This window comes from Homo sapiens, chromosome 4 (assembly GCF_000001405.40).
Source record: "Homo sapiens chromosome 4, GRCh38.p14 Primary Assembly".
Classification (NCBI taxonomy): Eukaryota; Metazoa; Chordata; class Mammalia; order Primates; family Hominidae; genus Homo; species Homo sapiens.
In genome coordinates this window covers 184,015,566-184,040,122 of record NC_000004.12, presented here as the reverse complement: position 1 = coordinate 184,040,122, position 24,557 = coordinate 184,015,566, and the positions used below count along the sequence as shown (strand labels likewise).

At 41.5% G+C, this 24,557-nt stretch overlaps 1 protein-coding gene and 1 long non-coding RNA gene across 8 annotated transcripts in view, besides 1 other annotated feature; both read right to left on the bottom strand.

The window, feature by feature from the left end:
* LOC107986330 (uncharacterized) overlaps window positions 1–9,160 on the bottom strand; it is a 31,852-nt gene extending 22,692 nt beyond the window's left edge. Inside the window, exon 1 of the long non-coding RNA XR_002959824.2 lies at window positions 8,257–9,160. This is a non-coding gene — a long non-coding RNA (uncharacterized LOC107986330). The remainder of the gene's footprint in view (window positions 1–8,256) is intronic.
* A 7,432-nt stretch (window positions 9,161–16,592) lies between these two features.
* STOX2 (storkhead box 2) overlaps window positions 16,593–24,557 on the bottom strand; it is a 225,509-nt gene continuing 217,544 nt past the window's right edge. For 6 of the 7 annotated variants that reach the window (NM_020225.3, XM_047415989.1, XM_011532131.2 and 3 more), the window contains one exon: window positions 16,597–23,034. In NM_020225.3, coding sequence (NP_064610.1) covers window positions 22,839–23,034 — 196 coding nt within the window. In that variant the 3' untranslated portion in view covers window positions 16,597–22,838. Of the gene's footprint in view, window positions 23,035–24,557 lie in introns of all 7 variants that reach the window. The other variant, NR_132761.1, reaches the window with a different exon arrangement.
* Window positions 22,436–22,935: an enhancer, noted in NCBI's record as "H3K4me1 hESC enhancer chr4:184938341-184938840 (GRCh37/hg19 assembly coordinates)". NCBI's record gives its function as "activates a minimal SCP1, AML or CMV promoter by ChIP-STARR-seq in primed H9 embryonic stem cells {active_cell/tissue: H9 hESC(primed)}" and the evidence as "EXISTENCE:reporter gene assay evidence [ECO:0000049][PMID:30033119]".

The window sequence follows — 24,557 nt, the reverse complement described above, 5'->3', positions numbered from 1 at the left end:
GAAAGCGCAGTGGAGGGAGAGCTTACCACCCACACGCCGCTGCACACACGCTTCCGTTCAATTCGCGTCTGCAGCCTGGGCTGCCCTCATTGGCTTCCTACCACGAGTAGGGACCATGTGCTGTCATGAATCTGAGGCCCCTCATCTGTGAAATCACGCGGGTGAACTCATTCAAAGGTCACTAACCCTAATCTATGAAATGTAGCACAGTACTGGAGAAATAAGGGAGGGTCATTTAGGGTTAAGGTCACTTTGCCTTAGGCAGTTAGAAAGTTTCTGGAGTTTTCTAGGGTGCTCTGTTAGCTTTCCCAGTGATTTTCAGTCAAGGAGGAAGAAACCGCATAGGAAGCTCTTGTCTCCAAAACAGAACTGCAGGAGGCTCATCCAAGGGGAAGGCCAGAGGCGGCCAAGGGGACACTGCTGAGGTGCCCTCATGCCACCGTCCCCTCCACGTTCCCACGTGCTGTCCAAGCTTGTGACATCTGAAATTTTTCTAACCAACCAAAGTCTTTTAACACCAGCTGTAGTTACTGAAATGTGGGCAGGTTTTTTCATAAAGGGAGGTTCTGAGTCAACCTTCAACTCCCCTGGAACCTTTAGAAAAGAAAGAAAAGGTGGGGTGGGCTTGGGGGATGAGAGAGACAGAGGGAGAAAGCGACGAGGAGGGAGGGAGGAAAGAAAGAGAGAGAAAGGCAGCGCTCCCTTCCTTCCTGCTGGCTTCCCTGATGTAATCTATTATGTCTGGGAATGACAGGCTTGAAGAAACATCTGGGACCCACCATGTGCCTTCTGCTATGCCAGAGAAGAGATGATTTCTGGATATTCATCTAACATGAGAGCACTCTTTAAGCCTACCAAGGGAAGCAGGCAGGCTTTTCTCATTTATTGTGCCAGATAAGAGAATTCAGAGATTCGAGAGAAAGTTTTCATTGCAATGTCAAGGTGGGAGTCCTCAGGACACCCCCCACCCTGCGAAACGCAAGCCCCATCTGCTCTGGGAAGATTCGGGCTGTGGAAAACAAGCTCACTTTTTCTTTGTTTTGTGCATACACTGGAATGAATAGAAAATTTCAAGGACTTTTGAGACATCAGTCAGCTAGGGCAAGAACAAAGTTTCATTTGCTAGACTCAGTCAAGCCACTTACAACTGAGATTCTCCTCTGTAGATACTGATTATTGCTAATAGTTGGAAGAGTCACCTACAGGAAAGACTGACAGTCAATTAACCTCTGGTGGAAACCAGTGGCTTCAAGTAGAAAAAATCACAGCTTTGAACGGGCGTGGTGGCTCACGACTATAATCCCAGCACTTTGGGAGGCTGTGGTGGGCGGATGATGAGGTCAGGAGATCGAGACCATCCTGGCCAACATGGTGAAACCCCATCTCTACTAAAAATAAAAAAAAAATTAGCTGGGCTTGGTGGCATGTGCCTGTAATCCCAGCTACTCGCGAGGCTGAGGCAGGAGAATCGTTCAAACCAGGGAGCTGGAGGTTGCAGTGAGCCAAGATCGCACCACTGCACTCCAGCCTGGCAACAGAGCAAGACTCCATCTCAAAAAAAAAAAAAATTTTTTTGAAACAAAAATAAGAAAAGTCACAGCCTCGACCTGACAATGAATTTACTACCATGGTTCAATCATTTAGAATTTAGTCTCAACAGTCTTGAGAAAATTCTGAAATTATTTCCGTGACTCTCCTCAATTTCCTTTCATAAGGAAGGGAAGCTGCAAGTTCTGAGTGCCTCCAGGGAATGGTCAATATCATGTATAAAACAGATGATTAATAGCCAGAAAAGGCATCAGCATAAAGATCAAGAACAATATTTTTTCTGTGTGTATACGGGAAAGATGGTTTTGTGTCAAAAGACAGCTGACAGAAGTGATTTGTTTTCTTTTTGATGACTTAAAAAATGAAATATTTATAGGATTTTTAAAAGCAATCATTTGCTTATTGCCAAGAAATTCACTTGGCTGTTATGTTAATTAAGAAAAAAAGGTCTCCAACTTTGATGTGTTAAAAACTGTAACTGTTTATTGGGAGCAGAAGACTAAAAACTCTCATTTTATTGCAGCCTATGACATATACTCAGCAATTAACCTTTAACAGTGAAACCAGAACATTCCTTCGAAGTTCTAGAATTCAGTGAGAATCTAAACATTTTCTCCCAATATTCTTTTATTACAGACAATTTCTGGTTCAGTAAAAGTGCACTGCATTATAAGACAGCATTCAAAACACTGGGGAGAAATATGTTTTAAACTATTTATCATCCTATGGGGTTTTCATTTTCTGCTGACTGTGACAACCAGAGAATTGAGCGTCTTCTCAAGGAGGGAAAGCTATTTATGGATGGTTTGTGATTAGGAGCAGCTGCTCTTCACCATATATTACCTTTTTGTGATAACCACATTTTCACACAAAGCTACCACTAATAAGCTGGTGCACACTAAACAAACTGCAGCACAACTGTTACCTTGAAAGGAAGATGTCAAATGAAAAGCTCTTCCAGGTTTTCGTATCCTTGAGTTTCTTCATTGTAGGAGAATAATACATCTGAAAGCCTGTTGCATCTTGGGAATCTAATGTTACTAACAGAAGAATACAGTCAAGTAGTTTCTGTGCAGCTTTCACTCTGGGTTAAAATGAAAAACATCTTATACCAGAGGTTGAATCTTCATGGGAATTAGAGATGCTTTTTATTCAACCCATACAACCAGGATGAAAATATATGGGTTGTGTTGTAAATGTTTCTCTACCAAGCTGGAGACCAAATCATACTTGCATTGTGCTTGCATACTTGAGAGCAAGAGAGCAGAAAGAATTTTGAATTTGAATATGCTGTTCCCAGCCATCCAGGTGAAAAAGTTTTACAGTGAAACAGTTACTTTCTCTCAAAATATTTCTGATTAGCAATGACTAATTTGGCTTCCCCTGGTGGACTTTCAGAGATGCAAAAGCCAAGAAATCCCCTATCATAATACTGTTTTATTAAAACTTAATTAGGAGATATGATACTTTACCTGGTAAAGACTCAACCACGCAGAATAATTTTGCAGGAAAATTATACATCAGTATGTAATCCTGAAATGCAAATCCTACAGTAATGGATGCAGTTGTAAAGGTTCCAAAATAAAAGTGACCATTACATGTGTTGGAAAATAGTTTTAGAATAACTGCTGACCAGGATGTAACTGGACACGACAAACAATGAAGGGTAACTTGACGATGTCTTTTCAGAAGCCTTAAACATGGGGAGAACTACAGACCTAGCAATTCTAATTCCAGGACATGTTCAGGTTTCTTCAGGGATGTTTGTGACGGCCTGAACATTCACATCAGAAAAAATGTTTTTGAAAATATCCAACAATGAGAAACAGAAGGAAAATGATTTAAGGAAGGCATCACTATGCAGCCATTTGGAGCAATGTGGATGAATGTTTAAAGCCATGAAAAATGTTAAGGATAACTATGGGAAAAAGGCAGGTTACAAAACAGTTTAGACTGTATGGTCCCAATTTTTTAAAAATATATTTTAAACAAAATTGGGACCATACAGTCTAATATACATGTATATATATATATAAAATAAACACATTATATTGAAAATGATCATCTTTGGTTGATATAATGATGGTTAATTCTTGTTCGCTTGTTTTCTACTTTCTTGTAATTCTCAGTTTTCTTATAATAAACATAGTTTTTAATAAAAATAATAATAAGGCCGGGTGCGGTGGCTCATGCCTATAATCCCAGCACTTTGGGAGGCTGAGGCAGGTGGATCACCTGAGGTCAGGATTTCGAGACCAGCCTGACCAACATAGATAAACCCAGTCTCTACTAAAAATACAAAAGTAGCCAGGTGTGGTGGCTTATGCCTGTAATCCCAGCTACTTGGGAGGCTGAGGCAGAAGAATCACTTGAACCTGGAAGGCGGAGGTTGTGGTGAGCCGAGATTATGCCATTGCACCCCAGGGTGGGCAACAAGAGCGAAACTCTGTCTCAAAAAAATAATAAATGGTTTTATAAGACCAGATGTTCCAAATATTTATCTGTTCTCCACCTATGAATAGCTCCCCAATTCTTCACCCCATTTGTCTAACACTGCCCCTGTATTGTTGGCGTGTGTGAATATCTGTGTGTTTTGGAATCTTTCAGGCTACACAGAATTCAGTGATAAGGTGGCACAAGGTGTCTGCAGTTCAAAGTGAAGACTAGAGACATTTCAGGATAAATTTGTACAGCTGCCCCTCAACATCTTAGGGGGAATGGTTCCAGGACCCCCTGAAAATACCAAAATTCAATGCTCAAGTCCTTGATATAAAATGGCACAGTATTTGCATATAACCCACACACAGGCCCTTGTCTACTTCAAATCACCTCTATTAAACAGTTCACTCATAATACATAATACAATGTAAATACTACGGAAAGAGTTGTTATACTGGATTGGATTTTTATTTGTATTTTTTATTGTTGCATTGTTATTTGTTATTAATATTGATATTGGTATTGCTGTGGGTATTGATATTCCCAATATTTTCAATCCACAGATGGTTGAATCCACAAATGTGGAAGCTGCAGATACAGAGGGCTAATTGTATTAAATTCTAATATTATGAAAATTTTAATTTCACTCGTTATTTTTCAAATATACAAATATGTTCTATCACATATTTGTATATTTGTATATTTTTCAAATATTAATTACTTTGTTTAAAAATTACTGATAATAATGCCTCCCTAGGAATACTGATAAGAATGCCTCCCTAATAATATACCGGTACCATATAGGTGACTATATGGATCTGTGGGACTTTGCTGAAGGCCACCCTACCCCAAACGCCTATAATTCCTTCTGCCGCTCTCATGCATACATGAATGCGTGAATTCATTCATTCATTCAGTCATTCAACAAACACCTATGTCTGTGTCAGCACAGAAGATACAAAGATGACGAAGGCACAGCCTCTCTGCTCAAAAAGCCCCACACTAACAGGGCAGAAAGACACACAAACAGACTACTGTGAAACTATGTGGAAGGCCGAGTTCACCAGCATCCTTCTACCGAAGGTTCTTTTATAAGACATATACCTTTAGAGAAGAGAACTTTTGGAGACAGTTACTGTTTTTCTCCTGTACAGGAGACAGAATTGATGGACAGAGAATAGAAAAGTGGCTCCAGATAAATTCACCTGCTTCCCATGTTTGCGAAGGGGGTACCCTTGGCTACGGTGTTCTCTCCCTAGAGAAGGTACATTTCAAAGGGTGAACGTGACACTGAAGCCAGAAGCAACCGTTCCTGGGATCTGTGCTGGTAGAGGGGAGTGCTGGGGCCAGCATATTATTCACATGTAGTACAAACCTTAAAACCTCCAGATGGTCACTACAGTTACCTAAGGATGAAGTTGTCAGTTTAAATAGGAGACTTGAAATTGTAGGAAAAAAATTTTTTGTTAAGATTTCAGCTCCTTGGAGAATGTTAGTTGCTGTACAGGACGTCTCTACAGAATTGTCTTCAATCTGAGACCTCCTAGCCTGGCTGTGACACAACTTCCTGTCTCGCTTTTTAGGATTATGTCTGAGAAGGCAGAAAAAAAGTGAAAAGTGTGCCCTGATTCCTGAAGACCAATTTCAGAAATCACCACCAAGCTTTAAGCCTCTTCTTTTCTTGGAAAGGGTCAGGGAAGAGAAAACAGACTCAATCTTAGGGAACTTTGTTAAAATATGCACACCTGGGCCCCACTGTGGATTTCCCGAATCGGAATCTTGAGAGGATGAGGGTCTCCTTGGAGGCCAACCATGCATACTTTGGAAATATTTCTCCAGTGACTGATTCACGCCCCCACGCCATGCACTGATGAGAACTATTGCTCTGGACATGCCCCCCTGCACACATCTTCACCTAAAAGTCTCACCCCAAAGACCCAGGCATGACAGGAAATCCCCAGCTCTGAGCTGTAGGGGCCAAGGGAGCCATACAAGAGCCTCTTCTCCAGGGTCTTCAAGCTCAGACAAATATCTTGCAGCCCAGGTCCATGAAACCTAAAGATTGAGTAGTGAACAGGCGCCATGATGGGGCCAGTGAAGGCAGGAAAGGCTGTTCCAGTTCTGCTGAGGGTCTTTGAGGTGATGGAGGCAGCGAAGAGCCTGAGCAGAGGCCTGGCTGGAGCACGGGGATGCCAGCCTTGGGGGATAGGGTGGAGTCAGCAGGCGGGACTTGGGGTGGGGGGTTTGACAAGCCTTAGTGAAGACTTGGATCTAACTGAACTAACTTTGGCCACCAAAAGGATCCAAGCCGGGGAGTAACACAGTTAGACTTGTATGTTAGAAAGATGCCTCCAGTGACAGTGTGGTGAAAATGAGGCAGGACATCAAGGAAGAGGCCACTGAAATAATTAGGCGAGACGTAAGGGTGAGCTGAACTAGCACAGTGGTGGTGGTGGAGCTGGAGATAAGTGGGCTGACTCAGGAGACTCTTAGGAGATAAACGAAGACCACCTGGTGATGGATTCCATGTGGGATGCGAGGGAGTGAGGAAGGGGCCGAGGGGCGCTCCTGAGTTGGTGGCTTTAGCAAGTGGGTAGCCAATGAGATCTTTGGCGAGGCTGGGGACACAGAAAGGAAGACCAAGTTCTGATGGGAAAGATGCAAGTTTCGCTGGAAATACTGGCTGTGAAGAAACAGAGATGTCCAGTCTGGAACTCAGGGAGGAAGTGTGGGCTGAAGATTAAGATACTGAATTCTTTTACAGGAAAATTCAAGTGCCGGGCGCGGTGGCTTACGCCTGTAATCCCAGCTCTTAGGGAGGCTGAGGCGGGAGGATAGCTTGAGCCCAGGAGTTCCAGACCTGCCTGGGGAATATAGCGAGACCCCGTTCCTCACAGAAAGGAAAAAAAAAAAAAAAGACAGAAAGAAAATTCAAGTAGAGGCCCAGGAACAAGAAGAAAAGGGGCCCAAAAATCCTTAAGGGACATTGATCATTCAAGGGGTGGGCACAGGGCCTTAGAAGGGAGAGCCAAAAAAAGTAAGAGAAACATCAGAAAGGTGTGATTTTTGAGGTTCATGTTCTAATGCTGCTATTTAATCATGCCAAAACACACATAAAACATAGTAAGATCATGTCATCTTTACACTCACGACTGTGGTAGAGTGGCTGGACCCAAAACTACAGGTATTGCAGAAGCCTTAAAATACATTTGGCCTTTTCTCTAGCCAAGTGCGGGCACATTACTTTGTGAAGGACACTTTGAAACTCACCAAAAGAACTGCAAGTGGGTGGCTGTCAGGGTTAGGGCCAAGTAAACATAAGAGGGAAAGCCAGCTTGTCAGCATCAGACCAGCGATACCCACCAGAGCCAGCCACTGCAGGCTCTGTGAGGTCACAGGACTGAGAGGCATTCCTGACTTCGGGGACTCTGAAATCCAGCTGGGGACACACAACATGTCCACGGGGGAAAGCAAAGAACACGAGAGTGCTAAAATGACTGAAGGGGCCAGAAGGCTGAGGCGGGAGGATGGCCACAGCCCAGGGGTTTGAGGCTGCAGTGAGCTGTGATCATGCTGGTGCATTCCTGCCTGGGCAACAGAGTGAGACTCTACCTCTATAAAAAGAAAGAAAGAAAAAAGAATGAAGAAGGAAGGGAGGGAGGGAGGGAGGGAGTGGGGAAAGAAAGAAAGAGAGAAGGAGAGAAGGAGAGAGAGAGAGAAAGAGAGAGAGAAAGGAAGGAAGGAAAGAGAGAGAGAGAGAAGGAAAGAGAGAGAGAGAGAAAAGACTGGAGGGGAATGAGCCAAGACAGAGGGCTCCTATTGAAGTAGGAATTAGTCATTGAAAGCTGGGGGTGGGGGTAGTGGCTCCATTTGCAGACAAGGCATGAGGCAATAACATGTGACAAACCTCTACCACGTCACATTCCAGTGCTCACCTTTCATGTTCTATAGCAAAACTGTGTTGGGAAAATGATATTTGTGATGTTCACCCGTTTCCCCCTCGTATACACGTAGAGCATTTATGACGCTACGCATTGCTTTGAGAGGAAGGTCCATCCTATGTCCTCTGTCTTGCAACTGTTATCTTTGTTGCTCCTGAGTTTAAGCCCTTGTCATCCATGCTCGGAACACTCTCCAAACCCCTTTGTCCTTACCAATATCCCACCCTGCTTTAGAGGTCCAGCTTAGACTCCAGTAATAAAATATCGCAAAGTGAGCTCTGTCTCCCCCGAACCTGCACAACCGCACAATGGTGGTTTTGCACCTTACCTGACATGCATGGTTTTCATGGCTCTCGTTTAACCCTCACAGAAGTCACTGTGAGGCAGGGAAGGCGGGATCCATCCCTGTTAGGGTTAGTCAATAACGCCGAGCCTCGGAGGTCAGAGGAGGGTGTTGGCTGCCAAATCCTAGAGCTGGTGAGTAGGCGGAATGGTTCTGGAACCCTTTCCCGCAGTATCCCGAGCACGTTGCAGTATGGGCGCATCACTGCTCTTCCATGTGCGGGGGTGACCTTCCCTTCTGAATCCCCTAGAAGGCAACGATCATGTCTTTTACTTTGTGTCCCTAGAACTTCAGGGATGCTCAGAAGCAAGGAGGAAAGCACTGAATACTTGCTGGGTAAACTATCCACTATATCAACATTCATATCCAAACATCAGAATACATGCAGGTGCACTTGTATGTCCTCTTTCTATTGATGTGGGTTCCTTCCTCAAACAGTGTATTATTAATTTCTCAATCTGGAAGAGCAGTATTCAAGGCACTATCAAATTCAAACCTCACTTTTTCATATACCTTTGCAAAAACCTAGTTTATAACAAGGAGACCCCACATTTTTAAAAAAGCATTCCCCAAAATGAACTACCTTTTGGGGGTGACATTTTTTAAGTCTGTGATTTAGATGCATTTTTTTTACAAATTATGATAAAAATTAATTAATTACAACATTAATTGACAAGCCCTAGATATCTGGGCCTATAGGAAGTGTCTGAAGATTCTCACTTGGATTTTGAGGGGAAATGAGTTAGTTGTGACAAAGCATTTGGGAAGAATGTCTAAATACTCAAGTAAGGACTAAGAAGAATAAGCCAGGCACAGTGGCACATGCCTGTAGTCTCAGCTACTTGGCAGGTCAAGTCAGGAGGATTGCTTCAGCCCAGGAGTTCCAGCCCAGCCTGGGCAGCAGAGCAAGACCTTATCTCTATTGAAAAAAAAAAAAAAAAAATCAAGCACCAGCTTACACCGGCTACAAATAATTCATTTGTCTTTGCTACATGATGGCTTTTACTCTGTGCCCCAAGGAAGAAATGACACTTAATCTTTACTCCTGAGAGTTTTCCCCTCTTAATCCTACTTCATAGTATGAAATTCTGGGCTGGGCGCAGTGGCTCACACCTGTAATCCCAGCACTTTGGGAGGCTGAGGCAGGCAGATCACCTGAGATCGGGAGTTTGAGACCAGCCTGACCAACATCTCTATTAAAAATACAAAATTAGCCGGGCATGGTGGTGCATGCCTGTAATCCCAGCTACTCGGGAGCCTGAGGCAGGAGAATCACTTGAACTCAGGAGATGGAGGTTGCAGAGAGCCAGGATTGTGCCACTGCACTCCAGCCTGGGCGACAGAGCAAGACTCTGTCTCAAAAAAATAAAAATTAAAAATTAAAAAAAAAATTAAAAAATAAAAAAGAAATTCTGGATTGCACTTTATTGAGACGAGAACAATATTTTTTCTCTGGCTAGCAGGAGGTACATTGATTTACAGCTCGAAAAAATTAATAAGGCTTTTTATACTCACGAGAAATCTGTAAGCTTCAAAATTCAGCCTCAGTCAGAGTGAAGTGGCCAGAAGACGCTGCGGAGAAAGGAAGCACTCGCCAACCAGAAGACAGCTGAGCTCAAGAGTGTCGAAAGAGGGAAGACATGGGAGTCACAACTTGTGACCTTCTGTTTATTGTCTTTTTAAAAAAAAAAAAAAAAAGACGGATTCTTGCTCTGTTGCACAGACTGGAGTGCAGTAGCGCGATCTTGGTTCACTGCAACCTCCGTCTCCTGGGTTAAAGTGATTCTCCTGCCTCAGCCTCCCAAGTAGCTGGGATTACAGGCATGTGCCACCACGCCTGGCTAATTTTTGTATTTTTAGTGGAGACAGGGTTTTACCATGTTGGACAGGTTGGTCTCAAACTCCTGACCTCAAGTGATCCGCCCGCCTCAGCCTCCCAAAATACTGGGATTACAGGCGCGAGCCACCACACCCCAGCCCCTTCTGTTTATTGTATTCTTAAACATTTTAGTTGTCCATACACAGTTTTCTGAGTTTAGAATAATATGTGCTTACTGTAGAAAAATTGGGACATACAGACAACTAAAATTAAGATGAGTATTTTCATAGAGGCAAGGCTTTCAAGAAGTGTGGATTTGGAAGCCCCTGTTCAATTTACCTGTAAGGTTACATCTCCCAGTGGGAACTTGACTTTATAGTCATTCAGTTCACCTTGGGCTGCAACCCAGCCCTAGTTGTCTGAACCTTGGTGCCACAAGAAACAACTTCATTTTAGCAATTCCCCTCAAATACACCAACTCCAAACACCTCAGGTAAACCAGAGGCTTAGGAGATTTCTGGTATTACATCAGACAACCAGAAAAAGACGAGCAGAGATTCCGGCTTTTTTTTTTTTTAAAACCAGCTTGAATATTTGGAAGTAAGAGCAAGCAGTGTGTTGGTATATATTATAGCAGACCTCCCTAGTGAGGCTTTACAAACAGCCACATTATGACTACAAAATGAGTTAGTAACAGTTGGGGAAACTGCTCTGGGAAGATATGAAAAAGTTATCAAGAAATCAAATTCATGGACTTGTTCTCAAAGTGTGCGGGACAGGGGGAGAGAAATGAGAACATTAAAATGAAAAATTAGCTGCAAGCAAAATCCCACAGATGCAAAGAGAAGGAGCAGGAGGTGGGGGAAAAAAATGACAAGCAGCCCCAAGGAAACCATGTGGCTGAGATGGGGGATGGAGTGGGGAGAAAACTTAAATCAGGACGGAGAAAATAAATTTTTTGTTACACTTTTATGGAAAGTTTGCATAAACAATCGTCAGCTGCCTTCAGATTTAAGATACGGTTAAAAGGAAACACACTGTGACCGTGGCCATACACACTCCAACCACTTTGGGGAAGAGCCTCCCCCTTGCCTGCCGCACCACAGAGCACTGGACCTCCGTCTCGTGTTTTCCCCACAAATGGACTGCCCGTTCCGTTCCACTGTGCAAGGTTTGGCTTCTCCTGAGCTGCCTGCTCGGTGGCTCTTCCCACCTCTTCTAACTTCCCCCCGACTTGGTGCTGCACACACAGACTGAAGGGTGCTGTGGAGAAACACAGCGGCTCCGTCACAACCCAAGAGCAAAGGGCCAGGCTTCTGCAGCACAGGTGCTTGCAACAGGAAGGGCTGGAAGCCTCCCGCTCAGCTTCTCATCTTATAACAACTTCTCGACATCTCAAAAGCCAAAGCTCAGTTCCTGTTCCCGGTGTTCTTTGGTTTCGGTTTGTGTTGAGGTTTTTTGGTGATAAGGTAGACGCATGGAAGCAAAAAGGATGCAGTAGCTGGGAGCACATTCCTGAGAGGTTTCTTAGTGAGAAGGAGCCCTGACCACAGCACGCAGCGTTTTTCAAACCCTGCTTGAAGCCACCACACCCAGCCCATTTCTTGCTGAAGATTTCAAAGCTCATAAGGGCCACCTAGAAACAATGACAAGCAGAGGCTCCCCCAGCCAGGAAATCAAGGGAATAATATTAAAGTGGTATAAACTGTCTAGCTGAGGGGATGGTCTTGGGCAGGGTCTGTCTTTAAGGCAAAACATGAGAACACAGGATTGGAAATGATGAATGCTGTACTATAAGAGAGGAAAAGAAGCCATCTTCTCAGGGCATGGAAGTGGAGAAGGGCACTCAGAGAAGGCCTTGTGAAAGAGACAGCATTTGATCTGGACCTTGAAATATGGTAAAAATTTAGGTCAATATTCAGAGATTAGAAGTGGGGAGAAGGAAGTAGCGGTTCACCAGACATTTAGTCTGTACTGCTAAGTCAACGTCGCTTCTTTCCAAGTTCTAACAGTGCAGCATAAGGAAGTACACATCTTAAATAAAATTAATAGTGCCCCTCCTCCCTCTGAACCTCACATTCTTCAGAACAATCCTTCTAGGACCAAATAAGCTCACTAACAAGTTTATAATCTTCACTGCACTGTCACAGGAAGTAAGCCGCATACTAGAATAAGTTGAGAAACACTTTCATTTGTTTCCCTATTTCCATATTTATCAAATCAGTTTTAGAAAATGCAATGGATGACCTACTATCGTGTATACTGCAATTGAGCAGTCCAGTAAAGGGATGGCAGGTGATGAGAGCCGGGTTTCTCACTGTGGGAGTGGGAAGTTACAGATGAGCAAGAAAAGAGGCTAGAATGATCCATGTCATAATGCATTAGAGTTGGAGACATCAGCATGACACTTAGCTTAATAGAAGTACAGGTGGTTACATTTAGCAATATCTATTGATACGTGTATGTGGACAGGTTAGCATACACACATATACCTCCTTGCTCTGTCAGCTGAGAAGACCTAGAAGTAATGTCTCCCCAGTAGTAATGCACAAAGCCAGCACCCAGATGGTGGTTTCTAATACCATTCTCCAATAAAAGACACGAGCGTTCTTTAGAGAAACGACTCATTCCAAGACTGGGACAGGAAATATACAAAATGAGCCTACAGCTTCTTATAGTGCCAGAGAGTTAAGAAGGTGCTCAAAAACATGTGAACAAACCACAGTGCTGGGGTACATCAAAGAGGTACAAGAGCCAACTTAAGGAGCTCTCAGTGCAAAATCTGGAAAAGTTTGAGCAATAAAATAAAGTGGTAATAGACTCTCACCCAAAGTATAACATAAATATCTGAATCTATACTGCTAAGAATGATTGAATAAATAAATAAGTGGCACAGAAGAGACAAATCTTCTGTACAGAAGAATTACAACTTATTTATTTAGATACTCTGCCCTTAAGGAAGCAGAGCTTAACTCTCCACTCCTTAAGCTGCACATGGTGACTTTCTTCCAAAGGGAACAGTATGGAAAGAGAGGAAAAAAGAGTAACTTCACGGTGAAGAAACCTGACAACCACTACCTCCAGCCAGATGATCAAGGTTAACATCAATAGTGGTAATAGGTCATAATGAATAGGATGGACTCTTGATATGATGAGAATGGAGCTTTATCTCTGTGGTCCTCCTCTCCAAAACACATAACTCTGGCCTACTCATGACAAAAGTATAAGTCATACTCAAACTGGGGACATTGTACAAAATACCAGACACATACTCCTCAAAACTGTCAAGGACATCAAATATAAACAGAGTTTAAGAAATTGTCACAGACCAAGGAGGCAGGACAACTGATTATAGTATGGTATCCTGGTTGGGCTCCTGGGACAAGAGCAACAAAAAATGACAGTGGGGACAAACAGAAAATTTGAATAAAAGGTGAACTTTACTTAACAATAATGTAATAATATTGGTTCATTAATTGTAACTAAGGAACTGTATTAATGTGAAATGATAATAACAAGGGAAATTGGATATAGGGTATCCAAGAACTCTCTGTACTATCTTTGTAATAATTCCAGAAATCTAAAAATGTTATCAAAGGTTTATTTTTAAGATGCAGTGGAAGTGCTTTACTCTCAAAAACTCTCTACAAAAATGCTAACTGCTGAAGTCCCGAGGCAAGTCTTTCTAAAGTGCTGGCCCTTCCACCAGTTGGCTAGAGCAAGAGTCAATTGTAAAAGATACCTTCTATTATGCTCATTTGTCTGACTTCTTAGGGGCCATATGGAGCCCCAATCCACTTAATTAAGTCCCCTTCAAATTAAGAGATGAGACATGGAAGGGAGAGAAATGTAGAAATGACCATTTCTGTTTCCAAGCTCACTGCTGTATTCCAGACAATCTTAACATTTTCCCAGACTGAGTATTGATCCTTTGACATTCAACACAGATGTCCTCTCATGAACTGCCTTCAAATAACACATGAAGGAAAAAAGAGGGGCAAAAGCTGTCTTCTCCAATCCACTTGAGCTTTGTTAGTTATCTGTCTCGCTTGTTTTATCAACAGTGGCAAACAATGTGAAGCTGCACTGTGTCGATGGGCCTGCTGATCACTAAACCACTGAGCTGTTACTAACTTTAAAGGAGGTGTTTGGCCGGGTGCAGTGGCTCACGTCTGTAATCCCAGCATTTTGGAGGCCAAGGCAGGTGGATCACCTGAGGTCAGGAGTTCGAGACCAGCCTGGCCAACATGGTGAAACTCCAGCCCTACTAAAAACAATTAGCTGGGCATGGTGGCAGGTGCCTCTAATCCCAGCTCTCAATGAAAGCTTTTGAACCCGGAAGGCAGAAGTTGCAGTGAGCCAAGACTGTGCCATTGCACTTCAGCCTGGGCAACAGAACGAGACTCCGTCTCAAAAGAAAAAAAAAAGGAGGTGTCTTTCAGGGGAAAAAAACTTTTCCCACAATAAATCATATATTGTATAGTAAAGAATGGCAGGCAATGGCTTGAAGCATAGATAGAAGAAGGTTACAAAATAATTTCCCAAGATAAGTTCTTAAAAGGGAGTCACACGGACATCAAAAAATATCCTTTTGCATGATATCTCCTTTTGTTTCATTGTCATTTTCAGACGATAAGAATACAGGCACCTTTGATCTAATGCAATATCCATCTATCCATCCATCCACCCATCCATCCATCCATCCATCAATCCATGCATATCTTCAAGTTACCATTTATCAGGCCACTGATGACTCAGCTGGTGGCAGACATCTACAGAAGTGTCAGAGAACCAAAGGCTCTTAGTGCAAAGGTGAGAGTGGAAATGAGATTGAGGGATGACAGTGGTCTGTGCACACAAGGAGGGAAAGACAATATAAATGTAAAATTTAAAATACTAGTAATCAATTGTGGTTATCAATAATGGAGAGCAAGAGTGAGTCCAAATATTAACAGCATAACAACGAACAAATGAAAAGCACTGCTATTATGCAAAGTGAAGAGTAGTAAAGTAAAATAAACTCAAGGTAATAGAAAATAAAAATAATGCATGGAACTTTACAATAAAGGGTGAGGAACAAGGGAAACGCAAAGGAAAGTGACCTGGGAGGAATTTATTTGATGGAATTTGGGAGCTGCAGTTAAGCAACCTATTCGGCCTCTCTTGAGCACAGGTGCCTCGGTTTTTCTTGAAATTCCTGTATGGAGCAATGTACTGTGCAAATATATTAATCACACACATGATTAACCATTTGCTTGACAGGAAAGGTCTGGAGCCACTGAGCGTGAAGATGGGCAGGGGGGTGTCCCTAAATCCAAGAACTCTCACAGTAGGGATAAGATTTTACAGTTAAATGAATTATTAAGGTCAGGTGAATAACTTCTTCTGATTACTCAGTGGTTCTCGATTTCATGGCCACCACCAGGGAAGGAGGCAAGTACTGAGTACTCTGCTTGAATTTTCTCTAAGGAAGGAGAGAAAAGCCACCACTCTAAATGCTAAAAGTAAGTTAAAACCATACCGTTTCCTTTGGAAAGACAACGTGTTTATGAACTGTGACCATTCTCTCCAAGGAATCAGAATCCTGCCTTCCCCCTTCTCCTTAAGTCCCCACGTTTCCTCAGTTCACTAGATCGTTCTGAAATGAACACACAATTACCTTTCCTTGACCACAGCTGCTTTTGGTCCTAGAGTAAAACTCACAATATACTCCCAGTATTCCTGCTCTTCCTAACTTCATGCCTGAAAAAGGAAACGTCTGTATTGAGACAGTTTAAAATATATAGACAAACTTACGCAACAAAATACAACTTGTTCTTCAAAGCAGTTACCTTGGGGTCTCCAGACACTTATCCGTAGACACTGTCATTGTTCACAACAATTTTTGGAAGTCTACTTTGGATATTGCCTTTATAAGAAAATCAGGCTCGACTTTATGGCTCATTGTTTTTGACTGAGAATACCATTTCCTAGCTCCATCATTAACGGGGCAGCAAATCCCTTTGGTTTGAAAAAGCCCATTTTCTACGGGCAAAGATTTGCCACAGTGAGAGACTCAGAAGAATGAATGACAGCTGAAGGAGAATAAACATGGAGGATTCCGAACCTGTGCAAGTGACTCACTGGAACCTGTGAGCAGCCTCCTCGTGTTTACTGGGGAGAGGATCCCATCCACTTGGGAACAAAAGCTGAGACATGAGTGCTAATGAAAAAGAAACCCCAGACCTAATCACATCACTTTATAATTTCATATAGAAAATGTAGTTATAGGCATCTCTCTCACTCTGTTTTAAATTCAGTTACCTAAAAATGTGATTTTTTTCCCCCAACTTTCATGGAAAAAGAATTTTGATCAGAAAATTTTCATTTTTAGTTGTTTTAACTCAGAAGCTCTAATAATATTGAGTAATCACAATGTTATAAAATCCTATTAATTGAAGAGAGAAGTCAATTAACCTCACCTAAAATATTTTCTCTCAAGTACCAAAAAAAATCCACTTAAGACATATAACCAAATGTTATTTAATATCTTAAAAAGTAACACAATCCAAAATGGATATTTCACACAACACTACATAAACAACATGAACACAGTATCACCATAGGGAGGGACTTTCAAATATAGACTTACAAAAATCCCTGTCCTTTTTTTTCTTTTAAGTTATTATACTAAGCATGACAAGTAATCATCATTTACAGTATGGTACACTGACACGATAAAAACCATGTTACAAATGTGCTGTTATAAATCAGTAACATTAGGGAAGACATTTCATGAACTGTAATTATTTCATATGAAATACTATACAATATAAACAGAACATCCATCTTGGATGACCTTTACAGCAACCAGAGACCAAGTAATTTAAAATTTTTTTTCAGTGCAAACACATTTTATTCAAGGCAGTCTTGGCTGCAAAACTCCTTTCTAACATACAGTAAATCCCACTTGCACGTCTTAATTCATTTACCCTAATGCAATAGTCACATTCAGTCACTCAGAGAAAGATACCTGCAGAATTATGATCCCTTTAAACTTGACGTTTAAATTTAATTCTCTTCTAGAACGTAGTATCTGTGTCAACTGCTCTAAGGACTTTAATTTGTAGCTGTCAATACTTGCATGAAGGTGACCCTAGGGCAGCTCTATTCCTAACCCAGCAAGTGTGCACGATACTGCACAGTGTTCTGCCCTTCCAATGTGGAAACCGTGGCGGTGTGTCAGTATCTAGGTGGGAGAATGGAAAGGAGGACCTCGGAGGAAAGGAAGTGGAGGAGCTGCTGCATGTGTACTTCATGATTAGTTTCCCGGAACTGCAGAGGACAGATATTGGAGGAGATCTCAGGTCTCACATTTGGTACCTCTTCTTGGTGGGAGCAAGGGAACAAGTTTACTAAGACCAGCCAAGCTTCTAACCTTACATTTCCAACCTTCCAGAATCATCGCTGCCTGACTTGAAACACCCCATTCCCTCCTTGGCATGATGTGTGTGTGTGTGTGTCCACATTTGAAGCCAACAATTAATGATTACAGCCCTATAACTGATCATGTACAATCGTAAGAAAGTTTAGTTCCCCCTTGAGTCTTGTAGAATCCTGAATCTTGTGAATCATCAACTGTAAGTCATAGAACTGTAAAATCACAGGACTGTGTGTTAGGGGAGCCATCTCTGGGAATCTCCTTGTGGGCTGCTGCTGCAAAAGATGCAGAGAATTAACTCAATAGGAAGGTGCCAATGTCTGTTTGAAACACACAAGGAAATGTAATAATGAATGTTTTCATATATGTAATTTATGAAACATCGCCTGAATAAAAATCTGTGGGAAAATACTGGATGTATCCTTAATACCATAAGACCTTCTGGGAAAGGAATGGGGTGACAGTTGATTCTATCTCACTTGGCAAAGCTCAGACCAATAGTAATCTTTGTCCTGCCCACATTTTACTAACCCAAAGCAAAACAGTGTTTTCCATGCCTTTTGCATTCATGTTTCCTGTGTTCTAGCTCCCCCAAGCCCTAAACATGTGCAGAAAAGTCACTCACTACCAGAAGAGCCCTGGATGACGTTGACAATGGGCGGGATGGTCCTGGGGGAGATGGGGGATAGAAGAGATTGCTCCTGCTTGGGCCCACTGAGGTCTGGCAGCACGTGGCTAGTTGGTTCTGTGACTGGCCTGTGGTGACGGAGGAGATCCCCATCAAAGATCATCTATCTCCTAATTCGAGAAGACACTTAGAACTGGATCAGCTCCCTCAGAAATCCAGCTCCTCCAAAGTAGGGCTCGATATATTGTACTGATTTTCTATGGTGCCAAGCAGCACTGTGAAGAGTACTTGATAAAGTTTTTAATTAAAATTTCTGTTTCAGCACCTTCCACTGCCAGGAGCAGTCATGTTCCTGAAAGCTGGTGATTTAGCACGGGAACTATAGCAACCCAATATGAAACTGTAAACAAGGGTGTGTCCAGATCTGCTTCTGACTGCAGTGGCATTTGGGTGGATCTGTCAATCACCCGCTTTATCCATTGATACCAGTAAGGTGTGCTGAGATGTAAAATTCCAAACACCCTGAACTTTTTTTTTTTTAATGAAAATGGACAAAAGTGTCAAGATGTATTTGTTTTCTTTGACTTTATTAGCACACATCAGAAAAATAGCATTGTATTTTGTGATTTCTCATGATGCTCTATCAAACAGATAGAAAACAGATCATCAATAGCTGCCACTGTGTTCCTGGAGAATCTTAAGTCACTCCTTTTGTTAATTCGTTGTAAGTATGCGTATTACAAAGATGACCTGTCTTGTGAATTGTTTGTAAATCTGAATGCTTTGGAAGCACTTTGAGATCCCAAAGTGAATCGTGCAAAGTCATTATCGGTTGTTGTTGGTTTTTAAATGAAGCTCCAAATACTGCCCATGTTATAAATGGCAAGACTTTCAAAAAATGATCACTATTGTATTATGAGCAATATGCTTGTAATTTAAGTTAAAAACTTTATTTTCAAGTACACTTGGTGGTGATAAGTGGTTTATCCTGGGTAGAGTTTTGCAAAGCTGCGCCAACCTAAAAAAGGAACAATGCTTCTGCTTCCACTGAACAGGTTTCTTCTCCCCATGGTGACTGCAATGTAATTTAAATTTACATTTTAGATGCTGGTTGGGCTATGAAAAAGAGGGACCTGGGAACAGCTGGTGTTCAGATCATTGTTACTCCGGATTAACTGTGAATTGATGCTTCCTGAACCTGACCTTCACAACATCAGAGAAGAAGTAATTTGTTATTTTTATCCAGCTAGTCTCCATTCACCTCTTCTATTTGTTTTCTCTATTTGATGGCACCCCCCCCCCTTTCATATGTTCATTATGGTCCCCTGAGATGTGCAAAATATATATAATGGAATACAAATTATTTAACAGAAGTTGTGGAATTCACAGCACAGCTCTTTTAATTAAAGTGGAGTTTGGGCTCGACATGGTAGCATGCGAGTGAAGGCAGAGCCCGAAGTGCTTCAAGCTTGGCAGTCCACATTGCTTGTGTGTCTTCTGTTACTGAAAACTTAGACTTCAAATCAGATTTCCAAAAGAGTAAATAGCTCTTTCAATTACGTTCACCCATTGGCTCTTCGCCAGAGAACTTTTAACAGGAATGGGTGGAGGGCGGGGGTGGGCACAAGAATTTTTAAACTTCCGTTCATTCCTAACAAAATCGAGTGCGCTTTCGTGGGGAAGAGAGGAGAAGACAGGATTACATCTGAAAGCCAAACAGCGGCGTAAGAGAAAGCCATGGCGATGGAAAGTCATGAGTCCACAGAGGCAATCACTGACACACACAGCACGCCATGCCCTAATGTTGAAGGAAGTGTTCAACTTTGCTCTTCTGAACGATACACTTTAACACACGGCTGCCATTTCATCAAATTTATGGAGGTAGTTATATGTAAAAATAAAAATTACCATAAAGTAATATGTTGTATCATAATAATACATAAGTGTGCAAAATGCCGACAGATGTGTTGACCCTTTCACAGAGATTCAACCAGATTCAGTTTTGTAAACCTTTCAGCTGCTAAACCCTAAGACTGGATAAGCAGTCGTGTAACACAAAGCTATGATTTTACAGGAGGAAAGGGATACTGGCAACGCCTGGCGAGGCCCCCACTGTTCCGGGACCGAGAGCCTCACCGTGACCTCGAATGACATTTGCAATGTGCTGCCGGCTGCCACTCCTCCCCCATTCAAGAATCTCGATCAGATTCAGGCAGGAATATTTTTATATGCAACATCTGCTTACATGGTATCACCTTTAAAGTCCATCATTTCTACACTAATGGCTGCTGGTCTAAGGGAGTTTTTAAAAAATTATGTACCCCATAGCATCAGGCAAATAGTGTACATATTTATTTGAATAATGTCTTCTGTAAACCTATATCTTGTGAAATATCAATAAATTCCTATTTTAAAGCTTCTCTTAAAGGTAACGCTTTCCTTTCCTGTTCACACAGTATTCGATTATTTCAATGGCTACTTTCAGAGGATCAGCTAGAGGCTGATGTGTTGTTTCAATGGTTATATTATTTATGAACTGAGAGTAGAAGAAAAATTTGAGAGCAGGTTTTTGGAAAAAATGAATTTAGACAAATATTTAGTAACTGTATGATATATAACTCCCCAAGGGAACCAACTATGTAGTCTATTAGATACATGATCATTCCTTCTGGACATATTTAAGCAATGAGACAAACAATGCGTTGAGGCATGCCTTGGAGGAAATAAGGCATGAGACTGAAAGCCAACTGGCTTAAGCATTTCAATGGTATGGGAGTTTACTAAGAAACATGCTGAAGTTTCACTATAATAAGCAGAAAAAAGGAATTTACACCAAACTCAAGGAGTTCAGTTTGACCCAATGCAACTTCCAAATAACTGAAAAACTATGAGGGAGCATTTAAAGGTTTCAAGAATGAGTCCAACTGTGTATAGGACTGGATTCTTTAAACAGATTGCTAGTGATTAAACCTCATACAAAAACAGATGCGTCTCACAAATCATATGCCAATTACTGAAATTGGAGGTGAAAATATTCTAGATTTATTTTGGGATATATATATTTTATGGTGTATGGCTCCCAACAGCACATGCCACTGAACTAAATAAAACTTTATGTCAGAACACTTACTTGTGTCATATGTAACCCTTTTGCAAATAATATTCCATTACTACAGATCTGTCCCACTGTTCTCAGAAAATAAAACATGGGAACGTTGGAATGTCTCCTTGCTATAAGATGAAATTATTGGTCATCCCTTTGCTGCTGGGTCTTCTTTGTGTTCAACATGACATTGTAAACCAAAGCAAAATGTTAACAAACCATTTGGAAATAAGTTGGTCTAATTAACTACACATCCAGCTAAAAACGCCTCCTGAAATTGGTTACAAAGTATCTGTAAACATTACTCTGGCATAGTTCATGTATGCATAATTGTTATTCTGATAAATTTTAGGGGAGTACAAATTCGGATTATACCGCACTAGCAGAATGAGCACATTCTGTTGTTTATTACATGGGCACATGTATATTTCTAATCAAAAATTATTTTAAAAGTTTTCTCTATACATATCTTCCCAGGAATAAAAGGCCTGAAGTTCAACACTCCCTAAATTTGCTCTTTCCTACAACCACTAAAAATTATCTCCCACAGCCTAATTTAGGCATTCTATTTAAAACTACATAAAATAGATTTATGTCCTTCCATTAGAAAGAATAACATCCTCAGGCCCTACTCTTCATTTGTATCACAAAGAACATTTTGCTTTTAAACAAACTAATTATTGTATCTATTAGAGTAAGATAGGGTCATCCTAAGTATCACAAGGAGGAAATTCTCTTCCTTCAATATTTGAGTAACACCTTTTACAAGTCCACATCACCTTTTCAATCACCTAATGCTGTGCCCCAGCCAGACTGGAAATTGCTTTCCTTTGTCCACTTCAGATTCAAAGGCCTATATTCCTGTTTGTGATCACGGAAGGTTAAAAAAATCAGACAAGCATCTGTGACACTTCAAAACAAAACCCTGAAAACATTCACTCCCAGTGATCTCCATTGCGACCCCTTCTCACACACTTCCATGGGCTCCTGCAAAATAGTGTCACGAAAACTCACAGTGAAAAATGACTGGTGCATAAACAATTCACACACAAAGGGCCGGGGTCCCTTCTAGTTAGTTTGGCATCTATTTCCCTCAAGGTGGACCCTTGCATTTGACATTTCGTGGTAGCTTAGTTTTGTTTTTTGTTTTTTTTTTTTAAATTTTTTTTGTTTTGTTTTGTTTTTTTTTTTTTGGAAGTGTCAAGGATCAGTTCTGTGGCACCGTTTAACCACAGACTGGGAGCAACACGCATCTGTGGCATTTTAAAATGGAATTGGCAACTGCATGACATTGAAAATGCGTATTACACTTACAGTGTCTAGACTTTCCTATGTGTGCTCAGATACAATTAGTGAAGCAAAAGTATACATATCACCCCTACTGTTACTCAGTTGCTACAGAGCCATAAATGTGAAAAGCAATACTCTGAAATAAAGATTTTTTGTTTTTTTGCCCTAGCCCTACTTAGCAGCACAGTTTAAGTAAACACAAAAACTGTGGTTGAGATGCTTGTCTTTCCAAAGATGTAAACATCAGTCCCAGTGTCGTAAACTTTGCTGTATCGAATGAGACAGAAGATCTGAGGCAGAAGGACAATCACACGCTAGTAACAGAAGCTTGCAAGCAGTTGGAAGGTTTCTGTAGCTTCTCAGCTTCATTTGTCGGGGGCTCCGCGCTCGCTCGGAAGTTGAAGGCTGGACCAGCTCCACCATGGGCCGGGCTCAAAGCGGGGTTCTGACGACGGTTACTTTCAACAATGCTTGATGTGTTGGAAGCCAGGCTCTCCCGAGTACTAAAAGAGCAAAAAGGGTTTGTTTTGTTTTGTTTGGAACATAAATAATTATAAATTGAGCCCCAGAGGAAGAGCAAATGATGTCGTTAATGGATTTCCTCTGTTGGTTCATAATGTCATATCAATATACATCTCGACTGATTATTCACATCTGCCTCTCCACCACTGGCTCCAGAAGCTTCCACAGACATGTAATAATCAGCAGCACACTCAGTGAATAAAGGGTTTTTAAATAGCTAAATGCACTTTGAAATGTCTTCTCCTTTTTTTCACACTCAACGAAACGACTTCAAAATTTGAGGTGATAGCTAGCTATCACAGTGGTTTTTAAAACAGATACTCATAAATACACCTAAGTCATGATTTCATTTCAGGCTGGAAATTCACTGGCATAGCCGCTCCTGAACACACTCGATAATTTTATCCTAATGATTCCATTTTCATTCTGGATTAGCAGATTTCGACTGTGGGGGACTTGAGCATGCCCTTTTTTGGGGGACCCTGGGCATTTGCCGCAAAGATGGGAATAAAATTCACTTTAAACGTTTTATTCCACTGTTTCAAAATTTAACACTTTAGTTAAAATACATTATATTTTCGATAAAGGAACTTCGATTTTTTTTTCCCATTCATTTGTTAAGTTTCCACTCATTTCTGCCCCACTTCGGCAGGATTGTTTTTGTTTGGATTTTTTGTTTTTGTTTTTGTTTTGTTTTGTTTTGTTTTTGGAGTCAAGGTCTTGCTCTGTCCCCCAGGCTGGAGTGCAGTGGTGTGATCTCAGCTCACTGCAACCTCTGCCTCCCAGGCTGAAGCAATCCTCCTACCTCAGTCTCCCGAGTAGCTGGGACCACAGACATGTGCCACCACACCCGGCTAATTTTCGTGTTTTTAGTAGAGACTGGGTTTCCCCATGCTGCCCAGGCTGGTCTCGAACTCCTGAGTGCAAGCAATCCGCCCGCCTTGGCCTCCCAAAATGCTGGGATTATACGTGAAGTATTTTCTTTTTAAAATAATTCGTATAGAATACAGGTGATTTAAAAGCTGTATTATTTTGCTCTCTCTTTTACTTTTTCTAAGTTAGAAACACTTGAATCTATTTCATTGCTTTAAGATATTTAGAACATTTAAGATTTCAAATGTATAGGGCAATGGCAGAAATAAGATGACTGGGCCAGATTGAGAAGAACTGAGTAGCTTTCCTGTGCCAGGGCCTCAATGTGGCTACAAGAAATGTATCAGCTACAGAGATTGAGGAAGCCAGAAGCATTCTCAAAACATCCACTGCATGAGGCAGAGTCAACATTTAGGAAATAGTCTCTGAGAGTTGGTCCCCACAACTGACTTAAGCCTGCTAGAGCTAGTTAACAAGTCAAACTACTACAGCGAAGACATCCTCTCCTCTCTTTCATTCCCATCCTCGGCTGATAGCATCTTTGAATCCTGTACTCTGACAGCCCTTTCCAACAGGTTATTTAAGCCTAACTCCTTGTGGCTTTGAGTTTGCTTCTCACCAAGAAGCCAAG